Source organism: Homo sapiens, chromosome 8 (genome assembly GCF_000001405.40).
Source record: "Homo sapiens chromosome 8, GRCh38.p14 Primary Assembly".
Classification (NCBI taxonomy): domain Eukaryota; kingdom Metazoa; phylum Chordata; class Mammalia; order Primates; family Hominidae; genus Homo; species Homo sapiens.
In genome coordinates, this window is record NC_000008.11 from 78,396,823 (window position 1) to 78,420,824 (window position 24,002).

The 24,002-nt window shown below is 33.2% G+C and overlaps 1 long non-coding RNA gene and 1 pseudogene across 1 annotated transcript in view; both read right to left on the reverse strand.

Annotated features, from left to right (window-relative positions):
* Positions 1-349: 349 nt before the first annotated feature.
* LOC105375911 (uncharacterized) overlaps positions 350-24,002 on the reverse strand; it is a 268,808-nt gene continuing 245,155 nt past the window's right edge. Inside the window, exon 4 of the long non-coding RNA XR_007060972.1 lies at positions 350-10,178. This is a non-coding gene — a long non-coding RNA (uncharacterized LOC105375911). The remainder of the gene's footprint in view (positions 10,179-24,002) is intronic.
* Positions 1,693-1,800, reverse strand: RNU6-1220P (RNA, U6 small nuclear 1220, pseudogene; annotated as a pseudogene).

A 24,002-nucleotide genomic window follows, 5' to 3' on the forward strand; every position in this document is an offset into this window, starting at 1 on the left:
TTTCTTGTCTAATATTCCTAGCTCGAGCCTCCAATACAATGTTTTTGTTAATTTTGCTGACTTTTTCAAAGAACCAACTTTGGCTTCCATTTATTTTTCTATTGCTTTTTTATTTTCTATTTCATTTGTTTTCATTCTGGTCATTGTTATTAATTTTTTTCCAATTGCTTTGGGTTTTTCTTTTTTAGTTTCTTAGGGCAGAACATTATGTTATTGATTTGAGATATTCCTTTTAATAAAGATGTTTATAGCTATAAATATTGCTTTCATTGTATCCCATGAGTTTTTATTTGTTTTTAATTTATCTCAAAGTGTTACTAATTCCACTTTAATTTTCTGATTTGACCCATTATTTATTTAGGACTGAACTGTGTCCACATTTTTGTGAGTTTCACAATTTTTTTCTGTTAATAAATTCTAATTTAATTTCATTGTTGCCAATGAGCATACTTTATATTGCTTACATCCTTTTACATTTATTAAAGTTCATCATATGACCTGGCATATGTTCTATCCTGAATAACATTTCATGTAAACTTGAAAAGAATGTTTTTTCTACTGCTGTTGGTTAGTGTTCTATAGATATCTGTTAGGTCTAGTTGGTTTATAGTGTTGTTTAAGTCTTTTTCTTTTGCATTTTGCGTCTAGTTGTTCTGTTATTGAAAGTGAAGTACTGAAATATTCAGCTACTATTGAAGACCTGTTAATTTTTCCTTTCAATCATGTCCATTTTTTCTTCTTGTATTTTTAGGTTCTGTTGTTAGGGGCATATATATTTATAATTCTTATATATTCTTGTTGGGTCAATCATTTCACCATTATTAAAATTTATTTGCCTCTAACAAAAATTTACATCTTAAAGTATATTTTGTCTGATATTTGCTTAGCCACTTCCAATTTTTTTCTTTTTTACTATTCTAATGGCATATCTATTTCCACCCTTTTATATTCCACGTGTCCTAGAATCTAAAGTGTATCACTGTAGAAAGCATATGTTTGTATATTCTTAAATCCATTTTAAAATTTCTGCCTTTAGATTGAAATGTTTAATTCTATTACAACAAGTGTATTACTAATCATTTAGAATTTATGTCTGACATTTTGCTATTTTCTATATGTCTTGTATCTTTTTTGATTCCTCTTCCTCTATCACTGCATTCTTTGTTGTAAAATAGTTATGTTCTAATGGCCACTTCTAAACTCTTATCTGTTAACTACATTTCTGAGATAAGGATTACAATTAACATCTTAACTCACACTAATTATTTTTAATTCCAACCTAATATCAATGATATTAAAAAAACTTGCTTCTAAGAAGTTTTATTCCATCAGCTGCCTTCGTGCTTGTATTGTCATAAAAACTACATCTATATACATCATATACTCAAAAACACAGATTTATAATTACTGCTTTATAAATTTGTCTTTTAAATCAGAAAGGAGAAAAAAGTATTACATACATTTTATAGACTTGTCTTTTAAATCAGAGAGGAGAAAAAAAGTATCACAAACAAAAAGTACATTTATACTGTTTTTAACTTTTACCTATATAGTTACCTTCATCAGTGCTCTTCATTTCTTTATAAGTATTCAGTTTATTGTATAGTTTCCTTTTATTTACATCTAAAGGAATCTCTTTATTAGTCCTTGTAGAACTGGTTTGCTAGCAACAAATTCTCCTAGTTTTTATGTAAAAATATTGAAGACTTCACAAATTTTCGCAGCATCCTGGTGTAAACACCATGTTAATCTTCTCTGTGCCATTCTAATTTTAGAAATATATTCTGTGGACATGAGCATTTAATATCTACTCATATAGTATAAAATTTGAAACATTATAGAGGATAAAGTTATAGACACAGACTTGCTATTTGTTTAGGGGCCATTTCAAGAGCATACTTGGGCAATATTAATATTGATGTTGCAACTTCAATGTTACAATGTTGCTGAAAGATAAATAGACGAACCTCAAGTCATAGATGAACATCATCATGCAGCAAGATGACTAGCAAGATAAACAGATAAGCCCTAAGGTATCAAGATAAATAGATGAACCGTGAGTCATGACTTTTTGCTGATATGTAAGATTAAGCTTAATTACAAGTTGTCACATTTTTGCTGGTTTTCTTTAGTTAAAAAAGATCCTCTATCCTTTAGCATAAGTGAAATAAAAACATGGTAAATTTTGCATTAATTCCTAAACAAAAACATAAGCACTTTCAAAAATGAAACCCATTAGCAGAGCTTTGTGTTTCCTGTGAAAATTAAATATATTCCACTGCCTTAAAAATTCATACATATTTTGAAATTTATATGTAAATTATTCCAGCATTTTAAATGATTTCAGTGCACACATAATTTCTTCTACCACCATCCTCTTCATTCCTTCCAATTAATTTTGTTAAGGAATTTTTTTTTTCTTTCTTTACCTTTTGTAGTTGTTGTTCCTTATTACATTTAGGTATATTGAGGCCTCCTCTTCTGAACTCATTTTCTGCTGACAAATAAATAAGGCCTAGGTGCCTGTTCTGGCTTCCGAGGATGTTTAGGCTCAGACACGCTGGACTAGGCATAACCTAGCATCACTCTGTTTCTGAAGAATCTTTGTGGAGCTGATGAGCTTCTGAACACCTCAAACAGACATTTAAGAAGACTAAACACTCTGGGGGGTGGTGCATTTTATTTCCATCTTTTTATTTTCATCATTTGTCTGGATAATACATGCCTTTGGAATAAAATTCAAAAGTAACTGGTGAATGAAAAGTAATTCTCTTACATTCTTTTTGCTTTAGATACCCAATTCCCTTTCCTAGAGTCAGTCACTGCTACCAGTTTTTTGTTTCAAGGGTAGTTTAGGCATATATGAGCGTGTGCCATATAGAGGCTGCTTTCTTTGATTAGAGTAAATTTGCAGGTTTTTTCTGAATTATACTCTGCAGGAATCCGAAGTCTCTTGCTAAAATGAGACTCAAAAGGTAGAAGCCAGCTTTAGCGTGACCTTTATTGTCTCCTCATGGTCTCATCCAATCGGTATCGTCTTTACATCTCATCAATTAAAGTGAGATCCATTCACTTTTACTGTGCTGATCCGCTCATCAGGGGGAAAGGATGTTATGTGGTGAGGTTTTAAACTATATGGATTGACACATTCATGACCTTGTTGAAATCTGGGCTGGGTCTCTCTGTGCTTGGGGCACAACCCTCAGGTTGCTTTCTGCCTTTAATAGCACCCGGGGGGTTCCCTTAACCTCTCTCCGGGGTTGAATCTCTTACTTTCTTTGTCCCACATGTTTCTTATTTTTGGTTTTCTACTTCATATTTGTGAAGAATATATTACAGTTGCTTCCTGGGAAATGGCATGTGAAAAGCAAAATGTTTAAAGATCCTTTATCTCTCCAATAACTTTATTAAGTTTGCACATATATAGAATTCTAGGTTAGATCTCATTTTCCTTGAAAATGTTGAACATATGAATTCATCAATCTAGGTTCCAGAGTTGATGTTCAAAATTCTAAAGTAATTATAATTCTCAATACTATACATGTTTATTATTTGTTTCCCTCTTTTTTGTGAACAATTAGAACCATATCTTTGCTCCTAAGTGGTGTTCTTAACTTTACCATGATTTGTTTAATTTAATCCATTATCTTGTGTGCTTGGTGGGCCTTTTAGGTAAAGAAATTTATGTCCTTTGTCTTCAGAAAACTATTTTCATGATTTCTCCCTCTACCTTTTCTCTGCTCCATCTTTCTGAAAATTGTATTATGCAGATATTGCATGTCTTGTATGAGTTTTCTAATTTTCTCTCTTTTTTCTATTTGACTTTTTGTTCTATTTCTTGATAGATTTCCCAAACTAATCTTCCAAATCTATTTTTTTCCCATTTACTCTCTAATATGTTTTAATGTTTTTGTGAAGAAGGCAAAGCGTTGAAATAGGGATACCTATTTGAGTAGGTATTCCTAAACAATAGCATGTAAAGCAAGGGACTGGGAACTGTAATATACATGCATTTTCATGCAAAATGCTTAACACATAGCAGACTCTCAATAAATGAATGGCCATGGGATGGATGGATGGATAGATACATAGATAGATAGACAGATAGATAACATAGCCTACATTCTAGTCTCAATTTATACATCTTCCTCACATCATCTTTGGCATGTCATGCCCTCTCTTGGTTTGTTTCTAACTAGCAATTTCAGACTACATTTTTCTCTCTGCCATTAACAGCTCTAACATTATTTGATACTATCAATCAATTAATTTGTATTTTTATTAAATGCATAAGCTTTGATCTTTGTGACTATCCCGAATAACAAATTATATATGACTGATATATATATAACATATATGCATATGTGCACATATGTTTTTCTAATTTACAAAGATTTAAGTTATCTCATATATAAGACTTACTATACAGACAGACAATAACTAGTAACTTAGGATAGGTAAAAGAACTGAGCTCTTTATTATTTGAAATAAATTAAAAATCCACCTGAATTTACTTTTTTAATTTTCTGCAACACCTTAAAAATTTACTTTTAGTAAATAAATCAGAAAAGCAGCAGTACTGTGATTTGGTAAACTGAGTTCTTTGCATACATTTCAAAATGATTTCTTATATAATATATTATACACAGACGCAGCTATCCATACTGGTTCATTAAAATGTGGAACAGTTTCATACAACTCCAGTCATTTAGCAAGGGTCACATGAAAAATTTTCTTGTGACATGGAACATTGCAAAAGTTTTATATCTCTTGATACTGATTAAACAAAGGCTATCAAGCCTTCTCATACAATAATTTCCTATTTTAAAATAGTTTAAAAGTAAGCCTTCTAAATTCAATACTTTCACATATTTAAATCAGGCAGACAACAGCCAGATTTTTAAAAATCTTTGAGTCTGTTTGCCAATCCACTAGTTAAGAAGTATGTTTTTCATTCATCTTTCTAAATGAAAGCAGCCTTGTCTGCACTGATTTCATCATCTCCATTGAAAATGTTTATCTGCCAAATGAAAAAGAAGAGTACAAATTAGAAACACTGATATATCTTCTGACATTATTTATGTAGGAGCTAGTTCTCAAGTTGTCATTACATTTACCACATGCAAATTAGGAATGATTTGTTTGGAGACCCATAACTATTTCTAGATTCAAGATGTTTGGACAACTGTGGATAAAGTTTCATTATCAGACTGAACTAAATATGCTGTAATTATATATAAATGAGGATAATTTTTGCTCTATGAGCTTAAGTTATTAATCTACACAGGCCAAGTATACAGAATACAATCATTCTCCAAAATTATACAAGAGTTTTTCCCAGCCAACTATTTGAGAAGTGGTGTTTGAAAAGTAAGGTCAATGATTGGTTGGACAGACAATGTCCACGTTTCTATCTGACTTTCCATGTTTCTTCTGGTGTGTGAAACCCAGGCTAGCTTTGTACTTCACAAAACCTTGTGTTTCCCAGTTTTTTATCATTGATAGTGCCTGAAATTATTAGTTAAATGTCTATTTTATCCAATAAACAATAGGTTCATAAGGTCCAAGGGCTCTGCTGTCTTATTCTCTTCTATACGTCTAATGCTACCATATTTGATTTCAGCAAATGTTTGTTTAATTAATGGATTAGTAGATGAGTGAGACATGAATCAAAGAGAGGAAACCTAACGTGGGCTGACAATTAAATTATGGTATGGAAATTAGAAAGTTAAAGTTTTAATTAACGCTGTGTTTTATTAGATTTTTCCATGGCAATAATTTGGTTAACTTTGATATGCAAAATGTTATGTCCATGGGGTTTACAAATAGTAAAAAATTATGGTATAGGTACATTTCCAGTTACCTGAGTCCTAGAGAGAGTAAGGAATCAACAACTAACAATAACAACAACAAAACCATTCAAGTTCTGTGCTGTATTTAAGAAATAGGGTTTAAGCATCCACCAGTATACTGAATTATGATTGCTAGACTAATTAGCAACATAATTCACTTAAATCACCTATGAGATGCAGACCTCTCAGAATACTTATCATATTAATCGAATTAAATTTCACTGAATTTTGAGTTTTTCCAGTACATCAAAATTTTGTACTTAGGTAAAGATGAGATTGACATTTCCAACAACGGTTCTTTTTTCAGTATAGAAAATTTTTGCTAACTTTGCATTTTGTGCTCTTTTTAAAGCAATTTTCTGTTTTCTTTTGCTATGTTAAGGAAATTTTGTTTATAAAAATATGCACTGTTTCCCTGCAGACATATAAACATGACTAGAATGCTACAATAGCAATGCTTTAGATATAATCTTTAAAAATTCCCTTATGTGCAACAGCATAGCCCAATGATTCATGAAATTGCTAAGTGCTGGGCATATTCCTTCTTATAAGACTAAGAGTTTATTCAAAACATTTTTCTTTAAACTTGGAAATAAAAAACACAAACTCCACTCAGTGTGTCAGCATTTATATTAGGATGAATTTCTTACTCATGGGAAAAGCTTTAATTAAGTGCATTGGAAGTTTGATAATATAGATGGCTGGGAATAAAACAGAAAACACAGAAAAAGAAAAAGGAAAAACAGAAGGGAGGTCCTTTATCTGCCTATCAACAAAACTATTAACCTACCTGCTTCTGTACTGTGTACTCAGCTTCCCTCCTCTGGAAAGGAAGAAATGTCTATTCCCTAAAAAAGGTCTTGTTCTCTCTTGGTGCTCAGGATCCCATCCCAGATTGCCAACCAGACTTTCCATTTGAAACTATCTTCTTTGTTCTACATCATCAATTTCTTCTTCTATACTTGCCTATTTTTCAAAAAATGTAAGAATGCTCTAGTATGTCTCATTTTACTTACTTTTTTTTAAAAAAAGCATGTTCCAGTATCTCATTCTGAAAAAAGCAAATTTCCCTTAATTGAAAAATCTCTGTCCAGGTACTATCTCATGTCTCTTCTAACAATCACAGCAAAATATATAAACACATTTTGTATCTCATCAGATAAGGTTTTCCTTGAGTACCCAAGGTAAGGTCTTCATTACTGTCTATCATGTTTCATTGTTAATTTCCTTTATTTTTACCTATCACAGTCAGAACTTATTATATTTATCTAATTCATTAACTTTTAGATTTTATTTTCTTTCTCCTCCAAGTACCATGTAGGTTCTTTGGGGCAGATTCCTTTAACTCTCTTGTTCATCACTGCATCTTAGGCTCCTAGAAGGGCTCAGAACATAGTAGTTCCTCAACAGGTATTTATTGAGTGAATGAAAGAACCTACACCAACCAGTTTCTTTGGAAAAATCAACAGTATCTGAACCCTGGGATTAGAGGTCAACGCTAATTACAGTGCAAACGAGGCAAAATGTTTTGTTACCACCTTGTATTTATCCTTTCTCCTTCTTTCTTCCAGATACCTAGTACCCTTTTCTCTTTTCATTGTAATATTCTATCTAGTATTTTGCCCTTTATACAGACCTCAATTCTCAGTAATCATTTGTTTCAATAATCACACAATTAAAGTAGTCCATCTCTCTTTAGAAGAGTATTAAGAAACAAGCTATTTAATTTAATTCATCATATTTATAATAAATTTAAGTATTTTTTCTGCCTACTTTCCCTGAGTGCATCTTAAATTTTTCAAAGAAACAATTACATCATAGCTGTGTTTGGTAGGAAATCAGGTTTTGTCCGATTCTTCAAACATCTTCATTAATTCCCAAAAAGATCTATTTAACTATTTCCCAAACAACTTTTACCACTTTTTCCACTGTCCTTGTATATTGGTCCTCAGCATAGCATACATAATTTCTAAAATTACTTTCATAATTTTTATCTTTCCGAACCTTCTTTTCTTACTTTTCTCACTTCTGTGAATAGGACCGTCATCTACCTTTATCATATTTGACAATCATCATAAGACTTTATTGCTCAAGGTACAAAAGAGTTATCAACTTACTTCTCTCTCTACTTATTTGGTTGTCAAATGATGTTAGTCCTACCTGCAAAATGACATAAAATACATAAATTCCTCTTCTTACATATAACTTTTACTTGTTCCATTTTAGTGGTGAACCTTGCACCATGCCTTCCAAGGTAGGCCCTCCTTTTACATAAATAAGCCTTGTCCACGCAATCAGTATATCTTGCTAAAATGCAAATATTTATGTCATTCCCACAACAAGAAAATAATCCCTTCACAATCTATACCTTGCTTTACTTCTCAAACCAAACTCTCGACCTTTTCATATACAACACATGACAATTATAACTAAAATGTCAACTTTTATTGAGCATTTATCCCATTCCTTGTGGCATTCTAAATGTTTCACCTGGAGAAACTCATTTATTTCTTACAATAACACATTGAGAAAAAAGCACTATCATTAGAATCAATTTAAAGATGAATAAAGTGATTCCTACAAAGGTTAAGTAATTATCCCATGTAGTGAGGGGAATCAGGATACAGTGTTTAACTGTTTCCAAAAAAAAAAAAGAAAAAGACAAAATAAATAAAGACTGTGCTTTTGCTCATTTCCATCATCACTGTTGTGTAAAGAAACTTAGGCTCATAGAGGGTAGGTAAAGATCCTAATATCACAATTTCAGTAAAACTCTTGAGTAGCTGAGCCCAGGCCAATCTGAATCTACCTTGTGTCCCCTTTACTACTCCAGCTCTTAGAGCATCTAGTCCTTAAGATGAGCCAGAGAACCCCAAAACACTCACTCTTCCAACACATTTAGGTATTGACTGCAATTTGATGACTTCATTAAATGCCTTGGGCTATACATGACAACGTTCGAAAAGGAAAAATGTTATGAAAACATCTGGTCTACTTCATTCTCTCCAAATTCCATCTACCAACAGTTTAACATCAATCTGTGAGAACGTTAAATGTATGCAATTTTCTTTAAAACAATGAGGAAAATATTATTTTTTATGAAGTAAAATGATGTGATTAAAGCACTAAATTCAGTCCAGTTATGACTATGAGCAAGGTTAGAAATGAATTGAGGTCTCCATACCATAGGGCATTAGTGAAGTCATTCCAAGGGTCAATAACCAGGAATGCTTCAATGGCTCAAATATACCCATGAGTGCTCACTCAGGCTGCATGTAGGTTCAGAAATGACTTCTGTTTTGAATGAAGATGAAAAGAGGTACTAAAATTCAACAGAATTTTGTAATTATAAGTCAGACTTGGCAAATAGTTTAATAATCTAACACAAACAACAACCCTAAAATTACTTTACTTTTTTCCTACTAGGCACAAAGAGTCAGAAAATATTTTAGACATTCCTCATACTGAAAGGAAAGTAAGCACAGCTGAATGTCACTGTAGGCTAGGAAATTAGCATACAGATTTTTTGCTGTTGGTGATCACAGACCATGTAATTCCAAATAAACAGTAATAGAATAGTGTCCACAGTCCTAACACAAGGTCTACATTAATCATCAGTTAATTTTTAAAGTAAATTCATTGCCAGTAGCTATGAATCATAAGAATCCTTTAGCCCAATAGAAAAATACATACTTTTATGTTGTGTAAATGTTCTCTATCTTGGTAAACAAGTTTAGCTATTGATAATTGGTATGGTACACCTGCACACATTCTCTAAGTATTTGGACTGACAATCAAACTGTGTAACTTTGAAGAAGTTTGAGAAGAGCAGAGCCCAGCCCAGATGATGAACACTGATCTTGAATATACTGGAGAAGATGTAAATGTTAGCACAGCAATTCTTTTATTGCATTGAGCTTTTTTTACTTTTAGAAACTACATATCAATAAAGCTACAGGTGTTCAGTCTCCCAACAGGCTGTTACCAAGTCACTCGAGTTTATTTTTTCTACTTTTCAGTTTCTCCAATAACATTATTCAAACGATGAACCAATTTCACTTTTAACTATTAAGTAATTTAACATTGACCATCTGAATAATTCTAAAATATATTTTTGTGAAAATTTATTATTTGGAGTTTCAACATTTAATAAATGACAATCTAAATAGTTATTACTCATTGCAAAATGGTCAAACACAAGGTTTAGTTGTTTCAAGGTGAAACCTTCCTTACTTCCAATAATTCTTCCATTAAAGGGCCAAACATAATAATGCCAATTCCAAAGGCAGAACATATGAGCAGAGCAATCTGTTTAAAAGAGTATTCCTGTGGGGAAAATAGAAAAATACAAGAAAAATATCTCTATTAGAAGGAAAAGGCAAATAGCGAAAATAATGAGCTTTGAAGTTAGAGACAGCAACTCTCTTTAAAAATGGTCTAGCAACTACTTATATACAGCATTGATGGAACATAATTCACAATAAGACCCACAAGAAAAGTCATAATTTCTGTAATTGTTATTGTCAGTAATAATTTTTTAAAACCCTTCTTTTTTAAACTAAATTTTGCAACATCTACTTACAGGTGCTGACAGCATCTTGTGTTTCACTGACTTTTTTTTTACTAGAAGTGCTATTAATGTGATCATAATCAGAAAAATTCACACTGAAATGCACTAGTTTGAACGTGAGATGTGCTGGCAAGCCACTCTCATTACAAGTGACAAGGGATCTGATGCCTTTGTCACCCCATGAATGTTCTAGGATGATTCTATCAAGCAAGATACTTTTTCTCCTGCAGCTCCACATTTCTGCAATTTAGCACATTTCAAGATAAAAGAGGTCACGTGCGTAACCATCACCAACATTACTTATTACTTTTCTTCTGCAGTCTTTCATATCCAACTTGAGCGTAAACCTCATGGGGGCAGAAGCAAGAACTATTTTGATTTTGCTCACTGGACCATCTCTATTGCCTAAAATAGTATCTGGTGCATGGAAAGTGCTGAATGTTTGTTGAATGAAAAAAAATGAATGAACAAATACTATTGCAAGTTGATAACATCTGTCCCTTTTAAATACTTACAATTTTTTTAATAAAATAATAAAAACAGAATTAAAAGTTCAATAAGCATTTATTCCATTCTACTTGAATGGAAGTCTTCATATTTACAACAACAGCAAACTCTAATGTTCTATGCTGGGTACTGTGCATATAGAACTTTTTATACCAACTGTGAAGTAGATATGACTATTGCTCTTTTACAAATGGGAAAATGAACCTTATAAGAGACATGTAAATAGACCACAGAGAGTAAGTGGTACAGTTAAGATTGTAACTGATGTTGGAAAAGCTCATATATTAAGTCAAATTAAGTTTGGCTTTATAACAATCATGACTTAAACTCAAAGCTGGTGTGGCAGCTGTACTCTCTAAGGTTCTTAGGAACTGACACTTCATCCTGCTCCCTTGTCTAACGTACTTGAAGTGTCGTTTTTGTTCTCAGATGCCAGGTAGCAAGATGGAGAGAGAATTAAAGATGAGTAGTGAGGAATATATAAAAATTGCCTGTTAATAAAGGCTTCTAGAAGCTAACACATTTGCTTACATTTCATTGACCAGAATGCAACCACTGTAATAGGCCGAGATATGTCCTCAAAATTCATATGTGGAGGTCCCAACTCCAGTACCCCAGAATGTGACCTTATAAAATAGGCTGAAAACAGGGCATTGTGGATGTAATTTGTTGAATTTATACGAGAGTAGGGTGGGCCTCAAATCCCAAATGACTGGTGTCCTTATAAAAAGAATGCCATGTAAAGAGACAGACATGAACACAGTGAGAATCCCTTGTGAAGACTGGAGTTATGCTACCACTATCCAAGGAGCAACCAAAAGCCGGAAGAAAGGCCTGGAACAGATCCTTTCCTAGCACCTCAGAGGGAACATTGCCCTGCTGATACCTGGATCTTGGACTTCTAACACCCAGAACTGTGAGACAACACATTTCTGTTGTTTAAGCTACTTAGTTTATGGTACTTTGTTAGGGCAGCCCTAGCAAACCAATACAGTAACCTTTGAGGTGGTTTGGAAAAAACTAGCTCTTTGGCTCTAAACTAGCTAAAACTTTTTTTTAAAAAGAGGAAAATCATTATTACAAGGTGAAGAACACTTTCTGTCAAACTGTCCTACACTCTGAAAGGCGGTCTTAAAACTGAATATGTCTTTGAATCTGTCACTATCAATTGTGAAAAGTATATTAGTATATTATATTTTGATTCACCTAGAAAGAAAAAAATGCTAGCAATTGAATTATCATAGGTCATCCACTGTAAGTTTCCTTCTTATTTCAGAGATATTAAATGTAATAAAAAGAAATAGACATCTTAGAATCAATGAAATACAGTAAATGATCTATATACAATTTAGTTATAACAGTGAGCACAGAAGACATGTTGTTTACATGGGCTGGGATTCAATTCTTTAGATTGTATAAAACTTAGACTTATTTGTCTTACTACAGGATTTTATAAAGTATATATAAGACGATAAGATACAGAAGATATAAATATGTCAATATGAGTGTTGATATAGATACAAACATATAAAAAGAAAACACTTCTTTGATTAACCTTGTTCAAAATGTTTCCAATATATTAATGGAATGTAATATCAATGGTATTATACATTCCATTTAAAATAAAGTAAATTTTGATAAAAATTATGCTTATTCTAGAAAAGGATAATTTTTTGTGTGGTGGTTTTATGAAAGAAATTCTATACTTCTTTCCCTACCAAATAAAAAATAATAATACTGCTGTAATTGGGAATAATAAAAAAAACTAATAAGTAAGGTCATAAAAACTGTAAAGTCATCAAATGCAGTAATAATTAATTTCCTTGTTAAAAATTTTTGCTTTTATTTTCCATTTCTTTATGAAACTCAGTCCCATTTACTTGAATTATTCTTCTCATTATATATTGGCTTCCTTAGAAATGACTGTGATTCTTTCTCTTTAGTCCCAAAGGAAAGTTTTAATTGTGTGTTGCCATGATAAGTTGAATTATTAAGATACATATTACCATATATTTCTACAACTTTCTAATTTTAGAGGGTTTTATCAAGAACACCACTTACTTTAGATGTAGCTGAGATCCAGAAAAAAAGCAAAGCAGACCATTTGTATTACCATTCACTTACTCAACCAGGGCTGGAGAATGGAAGCCAGGATCTCCCACCATGAAAGCTTTGATAACTTTTCACTGATGAGCCTACAATTGTAGCAACTGAGCTGTGAAACGAACCAGCTATTCATTCTAGTATTAATAACTATCATAGTATTTGGAGGTAATAAAAACAATTTGAGATTCAACTCCATCATTAAACAGCTAAAACTTTAGTAAATATATTAGCAAATACAAACACAAAAAAATGAAGAATTTGAAGAGTGAATTTGTGAGGTAAAAAATGCATCTGTGAAGCAAAGAGTTGGGTTTCTCATAAAGATTGTTAGATGTTGTGGCTTTAAGCAAAGCAGCCTCTGAGCAGACACAGGGGTGGGGGTAGAATTTGGTGGTGATAGTAATTCTAGTAAGTGAAAGGGAGAAGGGGCAGTGGAGACATGCATAGCATAATGGAGGTAAGAAGAAATCCATTCTAAAAATTTTAATTTAATCATTGGTAAAAATAAAAGTGCTACAGAAATGATGACATTGGGGGTACAGTAAATTTAAGAGCTCTAGATAGCAAGAGGTTCATCTTTAGCAGAAATTTATTATATGAAACAAATAATTTAAATCACGAAATTAGTATCAGAGTTTCTATCCTTAAGATTTTAAGGAATCAAGCAAAAAAAAAGATTTCTCTTTTTCAAATTTTTTACAACAGAATTCAATTTGAAAAATACCGAATGAGGAAAAAATTCAGCACAATAATTCTGTTGGCACATGGCCTGCCAAGGAATCTCTTCTTACTTCTGAGATGCCTAATCTTATCTCCATTTCCTTGAAAGCTCATCTCAATGTCAGCTGCTTCATGTAGCCTTTCCTGATCCGCATAAGCAAATGCAATTGCTCTATATGGCATTTATTCAATTATACATATTCTCGTGAACATTTATATGCTTGACTTATCTGCATTCTAGATCTGGAGTTGGCATCCTTTTTCTATGAAGGAATAGGCATTGAATATTTTAGCCTTTGTCAGTCATTTGGTCACTTTTCCAGCTATTTAATTTGGCCATTTTCATATGTAAGCAAGCATAGATGGCACACAAATGAATGAATGTGGCTGTGTTCCACTTAAACTTTATTTATGGACACTGAACTTTGCATTTCATAGACTTTTTACAGGCCACACAATATAATTCTTCTTTTGATTTTGTTTCCAACCATCTTAAACGGTAAAAATCCTTCTTAGTTTGCAAGCCACACAAAAGCAGATGGCAGACCAGATCTGGTTCCCAGACCATGGCTTGCCAACCTGTGCTTGTGACCTTTTAAGGTGAGGTATCTCCTAAACTCATCTATACTATCTCTGTGTACCTATTGCATTGCTTTGCACTTAGTAGATGTGCTATACATTTTTTCAAGTGAATGCTATGCTGACATTATAGGGATAAGCTGCAGTGAAGAAAAATGGAATATGGAGAAAGTTCATCCTTTGTTCTGTCCTGAGTGTCTTCAAGCAGGTTGCCTTATTTTCCTCTTTTGTAGTGTGCTGTTCTTTTCCATTAAGTAGTTACCACAATAATTAATTATGCATTTATTTTGTGGGTTTTCATGTTTATTACTATATCCATTTATATTGCTGCTATAATAAATTACCACAAACTTAATGGCTTACAGCAATACATATTTATCTCATAGTTGCTGTAGGTCAACAGTGAGATGGCTTGGCTGAGTCTCTGCTTAGATTGATACAAGGCCAAAATTGTGGTGTGAGCAGGGCTGTTCCTTTTTCACAGCTCTAAGGGAGAATCTTCTAGACTCAGGGAGGCTCTTAAAAGAATTCAGTTCCCTGCAATTGTAGGACTGAAGTTCTTATTTCCCTCATGGCCGATGGCCTGGGATTATTCTCTGCTCCTAAATGCTGCATCATTCCTTGACCTGTGGACATTTGCCTTCAAAGGTAGTAACCACTGATCAAGTACCTCTCATGTCTCATCTGTCCTGTGTTTTCTTCTGCCCCTTCATCTCTCTCTGACTTCAATCAGGAGAGTCTCTGCTTTCAAGGGTTATTATAATTAGATTGGCCCCCTCATATAATCTAGAGAATAATTAGCTCAGCCCCCTCATATAATCTAGAGAAATCTCTACCATATCAAGATCAGTGACCCTAATCACAACTGCAAAGTCCCTTTTGCAACGTAACATAACATATTCAGAGGTTTCAGAATTTAGGGCATGGATATTTTGAAGGTGGTTGGGAGAACTTGCTCATCATACTTTTGGGTACAATGTTCAATATTTCAGTAATAAGTACACTAGCAGCCCAATCCTCACCATTTTGCATTTAATAACCATGTAACAAACAAGCACATACTGTAAAATAAAAATGTTTTAAAGTCGCTTATTCCTATTCTAAATAGTAACCCCATGTACATTTCTCAATAGTATTTGTCAATGTTGAAATTTACATTACTTTATGTAAACTTCTACACATGAGGGAAAACACTGTAATATTTGTACTTTGAATGTAAATATTTTATATATAAAAACGATATATTATTAAATGTGCTATATGAAAAAAATCATCCTATCATTCAGTTTGAGAAATACATTACTATTATTATTATTATTGAAGTCCTATTCACACCTCTCTCTTAATGCATCCTCCTCTCCAGCCCTTTATTGTTGGTAGGGACTATTTCCTACCATTGCGATTTTACAGATGCACATGTGTAGCTATAAACAAACAGTGCTTAGGTTTATTTGTTATTGGACTTTGTATAAATAATTTATTTTCAATATTGCATAGCATGCCATTATATCTGCACATGTGTAAGCATGCATGTATATAATATATAATGCACACAGTTTTACATATATAATTTTATATACAACATATTTATAAATTATATACATAATTTTATGCATTGTTTTGTCAATGGATATTTAGATATTTAGATTATTTCTAGCGTTTTTTGCCAAACAATATGGATATATTCATTCATTTCTTCTGCAATACATGTGTAAGAATTTCTCTCAGGATTACACAGAATAAATGGATTTTACATATCAACATTATTAAACAACAAATCTTTTCCCAAAGTAATTTTACAGAAACCAATTCTCATATAAAGAGTATAAGACTTAATGCCCTTCCACCAATACTTGGTTTTATTAGACTTGTTAATTTTGGTCTGGTTAGAAATAAAATGGGTTTTTCTGGTTATTAATGAAGTTGAAAATATTTTCATATTTGTATTGGTCTATATGTTTTAATATTTCATATGCTTCTTGAAATAATTGTCATTTTTCCCAGTGTTTTATTCTTATTTTTTGTCTCATAAATTAGATTTTTGTGTGAGGTAAGGTCTCTTAGCATCTCGCTTGCTTGAAATATCTTTGTTTCACCCTGTTTTGGAAAATTGTCACGTGAAATATGCAATTCTTTGTCAACAGATATTACTTCTACAACTTGTAAGTATTTTCCCACTGTCTTTTGATGTTGAGAAGTTCAATTTCAGCCTGATTCGCTACTTTGTAGATGATATTTATCTCTAGTGGCTATGTCTTTGGTGTTCTGTGGCCTCACCATGCGGTGACTACATATGTATATCTATATATTTATTATGTTTAGCTTATGTGGTGGTTTTAGAGTCTGAATTTTTACTTCTTATCAATTGCCAAAAAGTTGTAAACATTGTATATCCCCCATTCTTCTCTGTTCTCTTTTTAGAATAGTTAGATACATGTTAGCTCTTCTTGTTATCGTTTTTGCCACTTAAGCTATCTTTTAAAAAGTTTCTACATCCTAGCATCTATGTGCAGCACTTATGTTATTATTAATTCTTGCATAGTAATTTATAATTAGTTTATAATTTTTTAGTTTATGGTTTATCTTTTATGCTACATTCTCTATTTAACTCATCCATGGAGATTTTGATTTGAATTACTATAGGTTTTAGTTCTAGAACTCTACAGAAGAAAATTATTCTCTGTGTTCCCACACATTTTTCAGCCTTCTTGATAATGATGCTGTCTGCTGGGTTTTGAGCAGTGATGGTCAGCCTAGTTCTGACTACCCAAGTATTATAAATGTTGACATTCCTCTACAAGTGCTTCAGTTTTCTTTGAAGAGGAACCTGCTTTTCCTCTACTTTGAAGAGGAACCTCAGATGAGCCTGTTTGCTACCCTTCAATTATACCTTAGCTTTAGCCAAGAGGAGAACCTTATGTTGAGATGGCAGAGCTGTGAGGTTCATTCAGCTTGGATGTCTAAGTTGCTGCATAGAGGACAATTGCCAAGGGGAGTTACCTAACTCTTAGCAGGCTTTAAGTGAGTACAAGGAAATTTTGTTGTTGGGGTGGCTTTTTGCTGCAACATAGCCTTGCCTACCCTGATTAATCCAAATTTTCAATGTTTCCTTCTCCAATTCTACTTGTTTATCTCTTATTTTTTACTTAATTTTTTAGACACAGGGTCTCAGTCTGTCACCCAGTTTGGAGTGTGGTGGCCCAATCATAGTTCACTGCAGCCTCAAACTCCTGGGCTCAAGTAATCCTCCTGGCTCAGATTCCCAAGTAGCCGAGACCACAGGTGTGTGCTACCATGCCTGGCTTATTTGGTTACTTTATATATCCTCTTAACCTTTGTCCACTTTTTTGAATATATATTTAATTCTGTGAGCATTTTATTCTTTTTGTTTTATATTCTATAAGCAATGACTTCAATCTGATGTCCTTGGGGTTTAAATTGTTCCCTGTTGGTTTTTTCACTGCATGTATTTGATATTTCTTATAGTTATACATTCATATTTGATTGCATTTCATCTGTGGAAGAATACAAAGAACCTAGGTTAAGAATGATTCCCTCCAGAAAGGCTTCTGCTGCAGACAGAATATGCCAACCAACTGAGACCCCTGTTACTTAGTATCTCAGCTTCCAGTTTTCCTGACCACTCAGCTAGTATAAATGAAAGCCCCAAACTGGTGTGAGGCAAGCAAGCCTATGATATATATTCCTAAGAGCCACGTGCCCCGCCATCTCTAGCTATTGGCAAGAAATCCAGGTTTTAATGTCTGTTTCCTTTCCTTGCCACTGGATTTTTCCAGCCTGCTCTTTCACTGAGGGTATACACTTTTGGAGAAGGAAGATTTAATTACAATTTTCAGATCTCATTTCTCTTCTTCCGCAGGCCTAATAACTTGAACCTCATTTAGCTAGTCCCTGAAATTCCAGGTTGTTGTATTCTCCCCATGCCGAAAGAAAAGCTTCAGATTTCATGTTGTCTTGAAATATTGATTTCAGCTTTTAATTCCTTCTGTGTTGTTGAGAGATTTCCTTTATTGTCTTGATAACTCAGCTATGCACTTAAAAATATGTTTATTTTAGCTTAGCTCATGTTTATATGTTTTTAACGGAAGACACTGAAAGAAAGAAAACTATATATGTCTTTATAGGCAGTTATATTCCTACCACTTAGTACTATATGAACACAAAAACATACTAGTAAGTGTTATAGAACAATTTAGATTGAAGAAAAAAAACACAAAAATAAGACAAACTAAATATTTGCTGATTTCTCGATGTTTTAAGAATAAAAACATAAAGATTAATATAAAACAATCAGCCTAGTTCTGACTACCCAAATATTATAAATGTTGACATTCCTCTGCAAGTGCTTCAGTCTTCTTTTAGAGTAATACAACATTACCAAAACAAATACTTCTAATTAGAGCTAATTGAAAAGTAAAGGATTTATTCATGCATTCTTCCAATTAACATACATTGATTTACAATTAAATATCATATACTGTGCTTAGCACTGGAGATTCAAAGATAAACTATATGATTTAAATTACTTATATTTTAGGTGAATACTGGAGTTATACCTTTCAAAATAATATTTTACTAAGACTGTGTTATTGATGATTCAATCTCGTTCCATAAACATTTATTGAGCACCTAGGGAAAATCTAGCAGTGAAAATAAAGGAGGGGGAAAAATGCTATAATTATATAGAATCTTCTTTATTACTTACTGACACTGTATATCTTAAAAGAATTGACTCATCTATGTATGTTATCCCTTGCCTTTCACCTCTATTTGGATTATTTATTAATCCTTGACAAAAAAGATCAATATATTGTGAATTCATTTATATACACTTAATATCAGTGAGATAAAATATAATTATGAAAGTTCTATTACATGAAGAAGTACAGATAGAACTATTATAGATACTTAGAGATGAGCTATGCCTCTCCCATTTCCTGTACTTTGCTGTACAAGTAGATATACTATATTTCTTCCATTATGAATTAAAATATTCTTAAATTTGTTGAAGAATTTCAATAAAGCCAATGAAAAGAATTATTAATCCCCTTGGATAGTAGTGGGAAATGTACTGTAATTGGTAGGCTTCATATCAGAGTTCTTGGAATTTCTCCAACCGCATTAGCAATTGGTCATCTTAATTACATGGCCCATTAGCTGAAATCTGCATCACCAAACTACCACGCACAATCCTTGCCAACTCTGATCCATTCATTGTGAGGTCAAAGTTTCCTTGCTCATTGCAAAATGAAATGAGATATATTAAGTTAAAGTATTTCAAGCTCATTAAATATACAACTTCAAGTTATTCACCATATCACATACAGAAAATAACTGCAATTCTAGAGACTATGCTTCCAGTACTTTCAGAATTTTTATAATGTAAGATAGTTCTACAAAAATCTGGACACATTCAAAAAATTTAAAAAGAACATGTCAATCACTGAGCTTCCACTTTCTATGACTTATAATTACCCACAATATTGACACAAATGTCTCAGTCTCACTGATCATAATCATTAGTGTGTTTCTAAATAAAAAGTAGATTCAGAGCCAACTTCATCATTGTCATCAGGCATTTGGACAGAAATATCCAGGGAATCTGAAAGAAAGCCACTTTGCAATGTTTCTTTTAGCACTGTCCTTACCCAAAAGTGCTTATATAACAAATTATTTAATGAGTTTATTCAATATTTATTTCTTCACTCAGATATTTATATTTCCGAGTATTTACTATGTGCTCCATGCTGGTACATCAAGATAAATACAAGATACTCCCTGAATCCAGGACACCCATGACCAAGCCCATTTTATGTAACAGAGTGCAAATTTATCAAACGTTTTTATCTAGTCCAGAGACTATTCCTCCATTTCCTCTCAAAGGACATAACAGAAAAATTATTCTGATTTCTTGCAAAAATACAAAGACTATGTTTATACATTTCTTGAATTTGTTCTAATGTATCAAAATATTGAGCTTAACCTAGAGTATAGTATGTGATGAACTCAGGCTAGCATTATTCTAAATCATTCATATTTTTGCAAATTACCCATAAGATAAGCCATTCTAGAATTTGCTTGGTACTGAAGACATGTTTATTGATTTATATATTATGACCCCCAGTTTTCCTTTAATAAAGGTGGTAACAAGTATCTGTTTCCTATATTCCCATATTTCCTTCTAGTTCCCCCGAATCCTTAGAGATCACTGAGAACATTTCAAACGCATGTGCAAGTTCTCATAGTAACTGAGCTCCATTGTTGTGAGTTGGAAGAGCTGCTAAGTAGTCACTTTACACTTTTCATTCAATCATGATTTCATATGAATGCTTATTCTAAAATAAGATAAAGATTCTAAAAATATTTCCTTTTGACATGAAGCAAAATAGAAATGGTTGAGTAGAACTACTTTCTTGAACTCTTTGCATTACAACTTTTGTTTCAGTGAGTAGTCATGCCTTAATATTCTTCATTCATTGAACAAAATAACCAAAAAAAAAGAAATTAAAAAGCATTTTTGTTGTCCATATATTTTTTCACTGCAGATCTAAGCATCCTTGGTGTATCTTACATTGCTCTGTGTTACTGTAAAGAACATCCTCAGCTAAATGTCATCCAGGCCATCTTTTCCACCAATTCTTTCAAAATAATGCCTTATTGGATTGCTGTCTATCTAGCTATATCTCTCTACATATATTACCTTCCCCATTTTCTTTATCACTAAGATCAATGTAATTTTAGAGTCTAATATGCATTTTGGGAGCCTCCCAACCTTTTTAACTCATCCCCCCTTTTAGTGGGTCAAGCAGTGGCATCAAATCTGTTGTGGTGGAAGTTTTAGAGAGTATATAACTAAAGTCGAATCATCTTATGCAACTCTGGCTGTCTGGAAACAGGAATAAAGCAGTTTCCTGAAAGAAACTGTGTAGATAGGATGAGCTCTATAGAGTTCAATCTAGTTTCTTATCCTATTAGGCCTAGGAAGAAGAGATAAAAGAACCATTAAAGTGGTACAGACATGTCCTGACCTTGTGATTGCACCCTAATCTTTGACAATGGTTACCTCCTGTGATCAGCGAAGAGGCTGCTAATGCTGAGGAATTTCAGCAATGATGTTCTTTTTTGGCGGTGGCAAAGGTAAAGGGAACAAAATCACACTTTGTGTTATTTTGTAGGCTATGGCTACACAGTGTTATTGAAATAGGTTAGAGGAAACTGAGACAAACTTCTACCACCTTGGAAGCTAAGACACAAGTGAGAGCAGGGAGAGGTGACAATTTTAAAGAGATAGCCAAAGAACAATAGGGTATTTTATTATTATTAGCATCATCATCATCATCATCACCATCATCATCTAGTACTATGACCATATTTCTAGGTTGATATTGCCTGGGAGCTCCTTATCTCTGCAGAATTTACACTTTTCCTTTTATAGCATTTTTGACACATGTCTAATTCCGTCCAGCATTCCATTCACTAGTAATTGAGAACTCTAAGGTGACAAGGCCCTTCTCACAAGAACTCCATTACTCTCTTATTAAAAAACAATTTTTCCTGTTTTAAAAATTAGGTTAAGAGTAGGTCACATCACTCCTTCTATCTTCTATTTAAAATTGAATAAAAATTTCAGCAGCTACCTGAACAGTTGAAGATACAGAAAGAGAAATAAATGTTATTTGAATGTCCATTATGTTCCAAGTACCTGTATTTTAAACTTTTACATATATTATATTTAGTATTTTAATATCTCAAACTTTATATTTTGAGATAAACTGATCGGTGTTTAGGAAGAGAAGAGAGAATATGGGGGAAAGATGGATGAGACGGAAAGATCAGAAACTCTGACCCTCACAGAGTTTAGAATGCAGAAACACAATTACATGGCTCTCCACTCTACTGCTGAGCCTCTTCTCTCTTTGGGATGGCATCATGCATTTCTTCGTCTGGGTACACTGGCACACTACCATAGTCAGAAAATGACCATTTTCTTTCTTTTTTTTCTCATTCCTAGTAGACTCTTTGCTTAAAGGCAGGGAGCGACCATTCAGGGCTAATTAGCTCTTCTCCCTGGCAGACTGGGTTCCATTCCTGTATCTGTCTCCCTACCTGCCTGTCTAATGTGAATATAGCTGCACCCCATGGAAGTTTCTGTTCTTGTCTCCACACCCAGGACTTAGCCTATCTCATTCCCTACCATACCAATAATAATAATAATAATGATAATATAAATAAATAACTGAATCCTTCTAAGGAATGGAGTATTTTTTGGCTAAAAATTAAGAGAGTTCATGGAAGGACTTTTTACAGCTCAGAGCACAAAACTTTGCTTCAAAATTTCTGTTTTCTTTCCAAGCTAGGTCCACAGCATCAGCTCCTATCCCTTTTAAATTCTGCCTTTCAGTTTCTCTTTCTCCTTCCTCTGACATTCTTCACTTCCACCTTGGCCCTTTCATGTCTTTTGTTTGCTTCAAATGTGGATTAATTTATCTCCTCTAATACACTGCATCCTACAGTCATCATTTATAAGTCTCCAAGTTGACAAAAGGACAGCAAATAACAGATCCTCCCATTTGTTATCTCAATCCATCCTCCTTATAAAGTGACTGTAAAATTATCATATGACATACATTTTTGTCACATATTTAACACTTTTTGAATGTCTTTTATGTACAAGACTCCTTGTGAAGTGTCAAGAAGGTAGAAAGAAGTAATATACAACCACTCAGAAACTGCCTCCATCGATAAAGGCACTCACAGATAAATGCATAATTAGATGAACAGGATATACACAGATACATATTCAATGATACAGGTAGCTTAGGTGTTAAAGGATGAGAGATGAGAAAGGTTGAGTAAGATAGCAGTCACATGTAGAGCTATGAACTAAAAGTTTGGTCAGCGATGTTGCCCCACTTCTGAGTAAAAAGAATTCTTGAAGTCTTAAGCACAGACAACATGAGGAATGGGAGGGACAATGATGAGTGGTGCATCATTAGGCTCACAGTGATTCATATGAGCTGTGCTTGTGTTCCCTCCAGTGAAATCTCCCTTGGTTTCTGATCCACACTTTGGATTTCCATACCATAAGCAGTCCCACTGTTCCTGCCCCCATTTGTAATTATTTTGTCCTGGGTACTTCCTCCATTTTTATCCCCTTATCACATCATTCCTAATATTTTCAAAAAAATTACATTTTGTAGATTTACCCAAGTCTTTTTTCTCCCTCCCACCACTGGCCACTGAATTTTCATATTGAAGGGGTCTTCATAACATAATATTTTGATAAATATAAAAGATGCAGTCACCCTCGGGAAAAGATTCCTTCTTGAAGTATTTTAAACCATGGCCCAAAGAAGCACATTTTTGTTTATTAAAATAATATTTGTAGCCAGTCATCTTTTCCCAAATTTTCAATTGTTTTCCTAAATCTCATGCTTTATGAGAAAGAATAAATAAAATGCTCCCCTTATTTCTAAATTATTTTTCCCCCAAGGTAGCACATATGCCATAAAAATTACTTTCTGGTGTTTCTTCATCCCTATTCTTCCTTACCACTTGTATGAGTGATTGTACTCATTCAACAAATATTTAAATGAACCTTTGATTCTGTTAGCTTCTGGAGATATTGGTGCAAAAGAAGACTTCAA